The 12,172-nt window shown below is 50.3% G+C and overlaps 4 annotated features.

Moving 5' to 3' along the window:
- Nucleotides 4,563-5,762: an enhancer, noted in NCBI's record as "MED14-independent group 3 enhancer chr7:155274926-155276125 (GRCh37/hg19 assembly coordinates)". NCBI's record gives its function as "activates an origin of replication core promoter dependent on BRD2, BRD4, P300/CBP and CDK7 cofactors, and independent of MED14, by STARR-seq in HCT116 cells {active_cell/tissue: HCT116}" and the evidence as "EXISTENCE:reporter gene assay evidence [ECO:0000049][PMID:35650434]".
- Nucleotides 4,841-5,341: an enhancer, noted in NCBI's record as "H3K4me1 hESC enhancer chr7:155275204-155275704 (GRCh37/hg19 assembly coordinates)". NCBI's record gives its function as "activates a minimal SCP1, AML or CMV promoter by ChIP-STARR-seq in naive H9 embryonic stem cells {active_cell/tissue: H9 hESC(naive)}" and the evidence as "EXISTENCE:reporter gene assay evidence [ECO:0000049][PMID:30033119]".
- Nucleotides 5,086-5,135: an enhancer, noted in NCBI's record as "active region_26897". NCBI's record gives its function as "activates an Ori minimal core promoter by ATAC-STARR-seq in GM12878 lymphoblastoid cells {active_cell/tissue: GM12878}" and the evidence as "EXISTENCE:reporter gene assay evidence [ECO:0000049][PMID:35858748]".
- Nucleotides 6,712-7,212: an enhancer, noted in NCBI's record as "H3K4me1 hESC enhancer chr7:155277075-155277575 (GRCh37/hg19 assembly coordinates)". NCBI's record gives its function as "activates a minimal SCP1, AML or CMV promoter by ChIP-STARR-seq in primed H9 embryonic stem cells {active_cell/tissue: H9 hESC(primed)}" and the evidence as "EXISTENCE:reporter gene assay evidence [ECO:0000049][PMID:30033119]".

The following is a 12,172-nucleotide window of genomic DNA, read 5'->3' on the forward strand; positions in this document are numbered from 1 at the left end:
CATTGAAACCCAACCACAGCCTGTAAGTGTTCAAGTAAAAGAAGGGTCACATTATCTTTCAGTTTCAATCAAAAGCTAGAAATGATTAAGCTTAGTGAGGAAGCCATGGTGAAAGCCAAGATAGGCTGAAAGCTGGGCCTCTTGTGCCAGTTAGCCAAGTTGTGAATAAAAAGGAAAAGTTTTTGAAGGAAATTAAAAGTGCTATGCCAGTGAACACACAACTGCTAAGAAAGTGACACAAGCTCCTTGCTGATATGGAGCGAGATTTAGTGCTTTGGATAGAAGATCAAGCCAGCCACAACATTCCCTGCAGCCACAGCCTAATCCAGAGCAAGGCCCTAACTCTCTTCAATTCTGTGAAGGCCAAGGGAGGTAAGGAAGCTGCAAAAGAAAAGTTTGAAGCTGGCAGAGGTTGGTTCATGAGGTTTAAGGAAGGAAGCCGTCTCCATAACATAAAAGTGTAAGGTGAAATAACAAGTGCTCATGGAGAAGCTGCAGCAAGTTCTTTAGAAGATCTAGCTAAGACCGTCAATGAAGATGGCTCCACTAAACAACAGACTTTCAGTGTAGACCAAACAGCCTTCTATTGGAAGAAGATGCCTTCTAGGACTTTCATGGCTGGAGAGAAGTCAATAACTGGCTTCAAATCTTCAAAGGTCAGGCTCACTCTCTTGTGGAGAGATAATGCAGCTGGTGACTTTAAGTTGAAGCCAATTTTACCAATCCAAACATCCTAGGGCTCTTAAGGATTACGTTAAATCTACTCTGCCTGTGCTCTATAAATGGACCAGCAAAGCCTGGATAACGGCACATCTGTGTACAGTATGGTTTGCTGAATACTTTAAGCCCACTGTTAAGACTTACTTCTTAGGAAAATGATTCTTTCCAAAATATTGCTACTTATTGACAGTGCACCTGGTCACCCAAGATCTCTACTGGAGATGTACAAGGAGATTAATGTTGTTGTTTGTTTGTTTGTTTGTTTGTTTTGAGACAGAGTCTTGTTCTCTCCCCCAGGCTGGAGTGCAGTGGCATGGAGTGATCTTGGCTCACTGCAACCTCTGCCTCCCAGGGTCAAGCAATTCTCCTGCCTCAACCTCCCAAGTAGCTAGGATTACAGGCACCCGCCACCACGCCCAGCTAACTTTGTAGTTTTAGTAGAGACAGGGTTTCACCATGTTGGCCAGGCTGGTCTCGAACTCCTGACCTCAAGTGATCCTCCCGCCTCGGACTCCCAAAGTACTGGGACTACAGGCGTGAGGCACCATGCCTGGCCTGAATGTTGTTTTCATGCCTGCTCACACAACATCCATTCTGCAGCCCATAGATCATGGAGTCATTTCTACTTTCAAGTCTTATTATTTGAGAAATACATTTCATAAGGCCATAGCTGCCATAGATAGTGAGTCCTCTGATGGAGCTGGGTGAGGTAAACTGAAAGCCTTTTGGAAAGGATTTACCATTTGAGATGTCATTAAGAACATTCATAATTCATAAGAGAAGATCAATTATCAATATTCACAGGAGTTTGGAAGAAGTTTATTTTAACCCACATGGATGACTTTCAGAAGTTCAAGACTTGCATGGAGAAAGTATCTGTAGATGTGGTGGAAACAAAAAGAGAAATGGGATTAGAAGTGAAGCCTGAAGATGGGACTGAATTGCTGCAATCTCATAATCAGACTTGAACAGATAAGGAGTTGTTTCTCGTGGATGAACAAAGAAACTGGTTTCTTGGCCAGGCACAGATTACAGGCTCACCCCTGAAATCCCAGCAACTTGGGAGGCTGAGGCGCACAGACAACTTGAACCTAAGAGTTTGAGACCAGCTTGGGCAACATGGCGAGACCCCATCTCTACAAAAAATAAAAAAATTAGTCGGGCGTGGTGTTGCACACCTGTAGCTACTCAGGAGGCTGAGGCAGGAGGATCACTTGAGTCTGGGAAGTCAGGATTGCAGTAAGCCAAGACCATGCTGCTGCACTCCAGCCTGGGCAATACAGTGAAACCCTGTCTTTTTTTTTTTTTTTTTTTTAAAAAGGCCGGGCGTGGTGGTTCATGCCTGTAATCCCAGCACTTTGGGAGGTCGAGACAGGTGGATCACTTGTGGTCAGGAGTTCGAGAGCAGTCTGGCCAATGTAGCGAAACCCCATCTCTACTAAAAATACAAAAATTAGCCATTCGTGGTGGCACATGCCTGTAGTCACAGCTACTTGGGAAGCTGAGGTGGGAGAATTGCTTCAACCCAGGAGGCGAAGGTTGCAGTGAGCCGAGATCGCGCCACTGCACTCCAGCCTGGGTGACACAGTGAGGCTTCATCTCAAAAAAAAAAAAAAGTGGGGGGGGGGCGGTTTCTTGAGATGGAATCTACTATTACTGGTGAAGAGGTTGTGAACATTGTTGGAATGACAACAAAGGACTTAGAATATCACATCAACTTAGCTGATAAAGCAGCAGGGTTTGAGAGAATTGTCTCTAATATTGGAAGAAGTTCTACTGCAGGTAAAATGCTATCAAACAGCATCACATGCTAGAGAAGTCTTTCATGAAAGGAAAAGTCAATTGATGTGGCAAAATTCATTGTCTTATTTTAAGAAATTGCCACGACCACCCCAACCTTCAGCACCCTGATCAGTCACTAGCCATCAACATCAACAAGACCCTCGACCAGCAAAAAGATTATGATTTGTTGAAGATTCATATGATTGTTAGCATTTTTTAGCAATAACATATTTTTAATTAAGTTTTTTAGAGTTGTTTACACTATACGGTAGTCTATTAAGCATGCAATAACATTATTGTATTTTTTTAGAATAATGTTATTGCAGGCCGAACGCGGTGGCTCATGCCTGTAATCCCAGCAATTTGGGAGGCCCCGGAAGGTGGATCACTTGAGGTCAGGAGTTTGAGACCAGCCTGGCCAACATGGTGAAACCCCATCTCTACCAAAAAAAAAAAAAATACAAAAATTAGCCAGGCGTGGTGGTGCATACCTGTAGTCCCAGCTACTCGGGAGGCTGAGGCATGAGAATTGCTTGAACCCGGGAGGTGGAGGTTGCAGTGAGCTGAGAGCATACCACTGCACTCCAGCCTGGGCGACAGGGTAAGATCTTGTCTCAAAAAAAAAAAAAAAAAAAAAAAGAATAATGTTATTGCATACCTAATAGACTGCAATATAGTGTAAACATAGTTTAAGAAACTAAAAAATTCAAGTGACTCAATTTACTGCAATATTCATTTTATTGTAGTGACCTGGAACTGAACTCACAATATCTTTGAGATATAACTATATATATTTATATATAGGGTATCTATTTCTCAGCCGGTAATCACTTCTCTCCTCCCCTTGACCCCTTCTTTGTGATGAAGTATGCTTTCCCATGCTCTTTGATGTTGAGCTTGGCTATGTGACTTGCTTTGGTCAATGAAATATTTGCAGATGTCTTTGGCTTTACTTTCATGCTGTGGTGATTGGCTATGAAGAGAGCATGCTCCAGGTATCCTGGACTCCAGGATGAACACACGTAATGCAGACCTGAACCCACCCTGCACCCCTGCAGCAAAACCGCCCCACTGAGCTCACGCTTAGGTCAGCCGAACTGCAGTGGACCTACAGACCCATGAGCGTAGGGGGAAATGCCTGCTCTTAGCAGCCACTGAATCCTGTCCTGATTTGTTGATGCAGGATGATGATGGTGGTAGCTGACTCAAATGGCCTCTATCAAAATTAATTCCTTGTCCACATATAGAACTTGGGAACTGATTTTTGGAGGGTTTAAAAGAATCATCCTGACCCAGCTTTAATTTTAAATTCCATGTAAAGTTTAAGCTTGACATTTCAAAGTTTCTGATTTCTATTTAACTTCTTGGCTCTCAGTGGTATCTACTCACTGCTCATTGAGAGTTACCTGTAAATCTCCCCAATTCCATTCACCACTACAAAATGATTAAGTGCTGACTCCCATTGTTCTCTTCCAATGGTAAGGCCAACATGCAGTCTCAGAACAGTCATTAGATGTGAAATGAGGCTGAACACAACTGGAAACCTCGTGGTGCTGGGTCTAAGCCCTCCCAAGTGGATCCCCTTTGTATAAAGTTCTTTCATGTTTTGGGGTGATTTTTTGACCCATATATTTGTCCCAAGCCGTGTAATAAGCTTTGCTCGTGGTATTCCCTAAGACAAGATCAAATAATTTCCCAAAGTTCCTCACCTGCGCTAGAGGACCTGTGTTTCTCTGCTCCTCGTAGCCTGGCAGCAGAGACCCGGAGTGGCCTAGGGCGAGGCTGTGACTGCATCACCTGTCCAATGCCACATCCTTCTTCCTCACGCACATGGCCCATGAAAGCCAGAACATGATCAGAATATGCTCAGAACACGCTCAGAACATGCTCAGAGCACACTTGGAACATGCTCAGAACACACTCAGAACACACTTAGAACACGCTCAGACCATGCTCAGAACATGCTCAGAACACGCTCAGAACAGACTCGGAATACACTCAGAACATACTCAGGACATGCTCAGAATAGGCTCAGAACACAGAACATGCTCAGAACATGCTCAGAACACACTGAGAACATGTTTATAACACGCTCAGAACCGACTCAGAATACACTCAGAACATACCCAGAACATGCTCAGAACATGCTCGAAACACGCTCAGAACATGCTCAGAACACACGCAGAACATGCTCAGAACATGCTCATGCTTAGAAACAACTTGCTCGGAACATGTTTGGAACATGCTCAGAACACACTCAGAACATGTTTATAACATGCTCACAACAGGCTCAGAACACACTTGGAACATGCTTGGAACATGCTCAGAGCACACTCAGAACATGCTTGGAACATGCTCAGAACACGCTCAGAACAGGCTCAGAACACACTCAGAACATGCTTGGAACATGCTCAGAACACACTCAACACGCTCAGAACAGGCTCGGAACACATTCAGAACACATTCAGAACACGCTCAGAACATGCTCAGAGCATGCTCAGAACACGCTCAGCTCTGCTCTGTGTCAGCTTCCTGAGTAGCCCCACCCATGACGCCTTCGTAGGCAAGCGGGGGCTTTCCAAGTCCTCATTCATGCTGCTTTCCGGTGCAAGAATACTGCCTCAAGGAAACATTAAAATTATCATAGAGAAGTAGAGAAAATACCAGGATTTTCAGGAGTGGACTTGACAGACGTTTGCCTGATGTGTGAAACGGGTGGCTGTAGGAGAAGGTGTCCATCACACTTACGGGCAGACGGAGAAGCTCATTCGCTCATGCTGTCAACCCTCGCTGGGTGTCTAGCAGGGACCAGACGCAGGTCTCAGCCCTGGGAGTGCAGGGGGCACATGGTCAGGTAAGCCCCAGCTTTCAGGGAGCTTGTGTCTCAGTGAAATGCCAGGAGAGGGCCACTTGGGGAGCACTGGTCACTTACATGGGATGATAGTGGTGTCCCCCAAGACAGGAAAGCAGGACTTTTTTCTACACACGTGCCACTCTGAATCTAAGCATTTCCTTTGTTTCTTTGATGTCCAGACCCAAAGTGTACAGCGACTTTTCTTTCTTGCTGCTTTTCCTCTCTGCTCTTATCACAAACGAAGTCCTTCCAGCCGGAGCCTCAGTCTCTTCCTCCCTCCATGGCTTCCTGCTTTCTCTTCCACGCTGTATTGATTTTCTTTTCCCCCAACGTTGGCTTCTGTGCTAATGCCTTATTCTAGTGAGGGAGGCTAACAGCGGGATTTCGGGGACTGAGGCAAGGCCATGAGGAACTCGTGGGCGGGGAGGCCTTTGTTCTGCAAATCTTGGCGTGCAGTTTGCACTCTCCGTTCAATTAGGATCAGACTTGAAGAGGAGACAGGGCAAAGGTGACTCATCCTGTCTTTTTCAATTTCAGCATTTTGTGTAACACCATGTTCCAAATCAATGTAAAAACCGCGATAACAAAATTATTACTCGCCATAACTGAAGCCCATCCTGTGGCCCACAGAGAGAGCCAGGGAGTCTCAGGTGTGTGTGCGAGAAGAGGTTCAACTCTTCCCTCCACTGCCTCCTCATAGAGGAAGGACCGGGGGCTCGCACCCAATAATATACAGTGATAGGAAGAACTCCTGTGATATCAGAAGAATCAACTCCAGAGGTGTTCGACAGGACTGCGTTTCAGAGACTTCCTTTTGGTACGCCCAGCCTCTTAAAGCCTAACACATAAATGGAGCCTCTTCTGGAGGGAGGAAAAAAGACCAGAATGCATTGCACGCAATGTGCTGCCTCATACCCGATGTACAGGAGTCTCCGCAGTGGGAATCCTGCCATGGGCACTCGCAAACCACATCTTCGACCACACAATGAGCTTCAGGTTTGTTTAAAAAAAAAAAAAAAAAGCTGGCCCTATCTAAGCAGCTGTGCTGGAAGCTGCAGCTGAGGCCCACGCCACTGTGGACAGCCCAGGCAGCTTCGGATCTCCTGCAGCTGTGCCGCATTGCTACTGCCTGGGACCTGGTCATCTGCCAGCAGGATGACCGCGGGAGTAGGAAACACAGCGCCCTGTCATGACAGACACATGGGCGAGCAGCAGTGTGCACATGTGTGGGTGTGTGCATGTCCATGCATGCGTGTGAGTGAGGCGTTTGCGGGGGCGAGGCTCTGTCTGTTTCCCTGTTTGATGCCAAATGTTAATTGCTTTGAGGACCAGAAATCAAACCGTGATGCAGTGAAAAACAGGACAAAACAGCTTCCCACAGGCATTTGGGGGACTAACTGGGTGGCCACTCAGAGCCTCTGAGTTTCGATCCCCTGCTGTTTAAAGGATGCTGGGGGGACTCCCAGTCTCTAAGACCAGGAAGGGGGCTGGTGATCATCAAGGCCAGCAGAGCTCTTAGGGAAGTTCAGGGCATGTCTGACCTGAACCCCGGCCCCTCCATGGGTCCCCGTGCTGTGTCTGCAGTCAGGCCCAGTGGAACCCCAAAGGCATGTCTGACCCGAACCCCCGCCCCTCCATAGGTCCCTGTACTGTGTCTACAGTCAGGCCCAGTGGAACCCCAAAGACGGGGGTCAGAAAAGGGTGTTCTTCATGGAGGAGGAGTCTAGGGCCAGAGGCTGTTCGCTTGGTCCTTCAGCCCTCACTGCCTACAGGGGTCCAGGGCTCCGGGAGGCGATACAGGGATACAGCAACGCCGAGCTCCCACTGGACAGACGTGACTCTGTTCACCATGGCTCCGTCGCGGAGGCCCGGGAAGGGCAGAGAATCATTCTTACTTAGCACAAGGTGCTTGTTGACCTATACAAAATTAATTTCTTGACTGTCGCTGAGAATTCCCAGCGGAGTTGTTCACATCAGAGAGAACTAAGCACACAATTGCCTGTTATCTGACAGCCTGAACAAAGGCCAGCAGGTACCTGGCTGGCTGGGGAGACTGGGGTAAAGGGAGATTTTTGCGAGTTCAGCGGTGAGGCCTCAAAGAAGCAAGACACGCCTCCATGGCTGCAGCTCCATGTGCCACTCCAGCCACCGCCAAGGTATCCAGAGCAGGGCTGGGGCCAGGGCGCCTGGCTCTGAAGCTTGACTGTGCCTCTCCTAGCTGTGTGCCCCTGGGGATGGGACTCAACCTCTCTGTGCCTCAGGTTTGGCATCTGTAAACAGGGATGGGAAATTGAGTCCTTTCTTCACCTGGGGACTCTTGTGTGCCTTGCCCGCTTCAAATCATCTGCTCCACCTATTGCTTTGTACCCAGGCCAGTGGGCAAAATCCAGCCGTGCCCATGGCAGCTCCGGGCACAGCAGGCTGCAAGAAGCCAACCCAGGAGGCCTCTGTCTCCTCCACAGACCCTACTTGTCACTGTCATCTGGTTCCATGATTGCCAACCTTTGCAGGTAAAAGGATTTCTTTTTGGCTGGGCGCGGTGGCTCAAGACTGTAATCCCAGCACTTTTGGAGGCTGAGGTGGGCGGATCACTTGAGGTCAGGAGCTCAAGTCCAGCCTGGCCAGCATGGTGAAACCCTGTCTCTACTAAAAATACAAAAATTAGCTGGGCATGGTGGCGGGTGCCTGTAATCCCAGCCACTCGGGAGGCTGAGGCAGGAGAATCGCTTGAACCCAGGAGGCAGAGGTTGCAGTGAGCTGAGATTGCGCCACTGCACTCCAGCCTGGGTGACAGAGCGAGACTCCATTTCAAAAAAAAAAAAATCTATTTTTTAATATCTACAGACTTTGAGGTCTATAGCCAGACGGTAGTTATATTTTTAGTACTTTCTGAGAAAACATACAAAGTCAAACAAACAATTCTGGGCTCCAAGGGGCTTTTAAAAGGTTCTGCATTTTGTCAGTCACAATGGCACCCACCTATATATTTGAGGCCTGATTTATATACACATGAATAAGCCTACACACAAACACGTATGCGTTCAGAAATACATACATCCGCGATACATATGTATAAATACATACATCCACAGATACACATATGTAAAGCTTGGGTGCCATAACAGAGTGTCCCCAAAACACAGTGACCTAGGGAACGCAGGAGTTTGCTTCTGTCACGACATCCTCCTGCTGTTAACGGGCCCCAGACTGTGGGGCAGCTGTGTTCCTAGGGGTCATTTAGAAACCCAGGCTCGGCCGGGCGCTGTGGCTCACGCCTGTAATCCCAGCACTCTGGGAGGCCGAGGAGGCCGGATCATGAGGTCAGGAAATCGAGACCATCCTGGCTAACACGGTGAAACCCCATCTGTACTGAAAATACAAAAAAGTAGCCGGGCGTGGTGGCAGGCACCTGTAGTCCCAGCTACTCGGGAGGCTGAGGCAGGAGAATGGCATGAACCCAGGAGGGGGAGCTTGCAGTGAGCCGAGACCGTGCCACTGCACTCCAGCCTGGGCGACAGAGCGAGACTCCGTCTCAAAAAATAAAAAAGAAAGAAAAGAAAAGAAAAGAAATCCAGCCTCCTCCTGGGTGCTGCCTGATGGAACTTCTGTGATGACGGAAGTGACCTGAGCAGGTGCTGTCCCATCCCGTGGCCACCAGTCCCTGTGGCTACTGGGCATTTGAATTGAGCTAGTGCAACTGAGGAAACAAATTTTAAATTTTGTTTAATTTGAATTGGTTTTAATAAAGTGGCACATGGGGCTCGTGGCTACTGTACTGGAGAGCACGGCTCTCCTCGTCCCCAGGGCCTCGCTGCCATCTGCCCGGCCAAAGCTGTGAGTGGCCTCACTGTCCAGACTCCGCGGCTGGAAGTGTGGAGAAGTGGCAAGGCCCACGTCTAGAGGCCAAGCCTGACCTTCCTTGAGAAAATGTCACCACATGGTCACACTCAAGCACGAGGAGGCTGGGAATGTGCTCTGACCAGGCAGCACGTGCTGGCTCCAAGTGCAGGACTCAGAGAAGAGGAAAGGAATCCTGGAGCTCAGGGATCTGAGCCAGGCCATCTCAACCCAACGCCTGCTATTTATTCTGGATCTGAAGGACATTCATCAGGACTCTATGCCTTCAGGGGACTGTGGTGAGAGGGTGGGGAACACTTAACTTAGCTCAGCCTCCTACTCAAGTCCTCATTCATTCAACGCCACAGGCCAGCGTGAGCTACACTTGGGGTATAGGAAGCCCTGGGGAGCTCCCAGGAGATGGTGCAGCCCCCACTGCTGGCCCTCCTCTGACCTCCTTCAGCCTCTGGCACTAAGACATTGTCTGTGGTGTGACCCTCTTTTTAAAAATTGCGTTTTCGTTATTTGGGGTATATACACCCAGCTGTGGAAATGTGGACCATATGGTAATTGTAGGTTTCGTTTTTTGGGGAGCCGTCATCTAGCATTCCACGGTGGCTGAGCCATTTTTCCCTCCCACCACAGGGTACAAGGGCCCCAGTTCCTCCCCATCTTCACCAGTGCTTGTTATTTGCTGGTTTTCATAGTCGTGGTCTGGGCCTCCAGACAGGGCATGGTGTCCTCCCCGCAGCGGGAGACCCCGCGTCGTTCCCTCTCTCCCTCAGCACCTGGGCACCCAGCATGCTGTCTCCAGCAGACGCCCATCGGTGCCCAGTGACCATGGACAGCAAGGAGTTGCAAGCGGTCCTGCCCCTCCCTCCGATCATGCTGGAACAGTGGCTTCTCTGAGGAGGAGGCGGGTGTGGGGCCCTCTGCCCAGGACAGGCCGTGGAGGGACACAGGCTTACAGCTAGCCCCGGCTGAGTCCAGCCATCAGCCCGTGGGCCTCAGTCTCCTCCTCTGTAAAGGAGAGGTGATGGTGCCTACTTTGGCTATTGTGAAGATTAAAGGAAATCATGTTCACGAAAAGCTTAGGGCAGCCCTGGCGTGTGAAGGGCTGGGGAAACATGAGCCGTCGTTATTACCATTGCACAAGTCTGCATCTCTGCTTACAAAGCCATTGTCTGCTATTGTCCCCACACCTCTCCAAGTCCTCCAGCCCGTGTGGGAAACCCAAGGGCATCCTCGTCCTTCTGCTCCCTGATCTGGCCTGGGGGCTGCAGGAGGACCCTCACTCCTTCAGCCCTGCCCTCTCTCCAGCCCACCGCGTTGCCGTCTAGACTCACACTGGGCTTTCCTCCTAACTCTATCACCTGGGTGGGGTGACCTTGGCCCGAACCTCTGTACTCACAAGGGGGCTGACAGTCCAATCGTGCTCAGCGCCCGGTGGAAGAAACAACTCAGGCAGCAGCTGGCTGTGGTCACTCGCACGTTAATGGGGCACCGAGCCGTCAGACTGCACTCTGCTTAAAGGTCTGTGCCCCTGGAGGCCCCCAGCTGAGGGTGAGGGTGGGTGTGCATTTGGGTGGTGGTTGGTCTTGGGCAGGGCAAACTGGTCACCAAGCTAAAATGGTCTGCTTTTCCCTGAAAATTAACTTTTTGCCCAAGACAGACATCCTGGTGGCCCTTGCCCAGGAGTCATCCCTCCAGGTGTGCAGGAAGGCGGCAGAGATCCCCTGGCCCACCCTCGACCATCACCCTTCTGTCCAGCACCCTGGCTGCATCCTTCAGCCCAGCGTGGGCCAGCTCCTCGCCCCCTTAGCCCAGGCCCTCCCACCCTTGGTGCTCAGCTGCTGTTGACATCCATCCCTGCAGCTGGAGGGACACCCCACCCCAGGCCTGGACTCAGCTGGGCAATGCTGCATCCTCCCATTTTATTCTCTAAGCACTCTGAGGGTAAGCCCTTCATCTCATTCCTCCTGCAACCCTGAGAGGGACAAAAGGGCTGTCACCACCTCCCTGTGGGGGACACTGGCAGGATGAGGGGACTGCCCAAGCCACGCCCAGCCACACCCTTTGGAAACGTCCTGCACAGCGAGCTCTTCTCTCTGCAGGGGTTCTGCCTTTGCTGTCTCCACAGCCATCTTCCAGCCCCAGTCCTGTCTGGGACCCTCTCACCACCCACAGATCCTTGCATGTCACATTTGTTACTCGGCCCCTCCCTGCCACTTCTCATTTAGTCTCGTAAGAAACCTGGCTGCTTAAAATTTTACTCAGTCTATAAATACTCTTTGCTGAGCATTTTCTATAACAATAGGAGCTGGAAACCCCCAAATCCGGATGGCTCGTCTCATGTCTGTTGCCCCACCCACCCCTCTGCAACTTCTCAAGCAGCTCACTTTGGATGATAAGCTCCACGTGTGTCTTAGAACTGACACGGCTGCGTCCCAAGTACCAGGTGTTGTGCTGTGTGCTTGAAGTTACAGCAACCCCTCACCACAGCTCTGTGAGGCAGCTGTGACTTCCATCCTTCTTACAAGTGGAGACGCTTAGGCTCCAGCCTCCACGGGGACTTCAGCGCTGAGTTTCCCTCGTGATAGGCAAGGCACTGTGCTGGGCGGGGCAGGTACAACTGATCTTCCAGAGTCAGGAGCATAGGGGTCTGGGAGTGAGACCCCCCCACCGCGCACACACTCTCCTGCTGGGAAGCCTCAGGGAAACTGGGTGCCCACCTCCCCACTTCAGCCAGGTCTCAGCCTCCCGGGGATGCTCTTGAGGCCGACCCTCGGGATGCCGCCCCGTCCTGCCCCTCCAGGGTAGGCCCCCACGAGCAGGGGCCTGGACTCCATGGGTAGACAAGTCTTGTGTGGATTGGGACCGGAGCTGGTAAGGCCAGGAAGGGGCAACTGTAGGCACTGCCCGGGGAGGGGCAGAATCATGCTGTTGCCCAGTGATGCCAGGTACACAAAGGCAAAGCTG

Source organism: Homo sapiens, chromosome 7, assembly GCF_000001405.40.
Source record: "Homo sapiens chromosome 7, GRCh38.p14 Primary Assembly".
In the NCBI taxonomy this organism is placed as follows: Eukaryota; Metazoa; Chordata; class Mammalia; order Primates; family Hominidae; genus Homo; species Homo sapiens.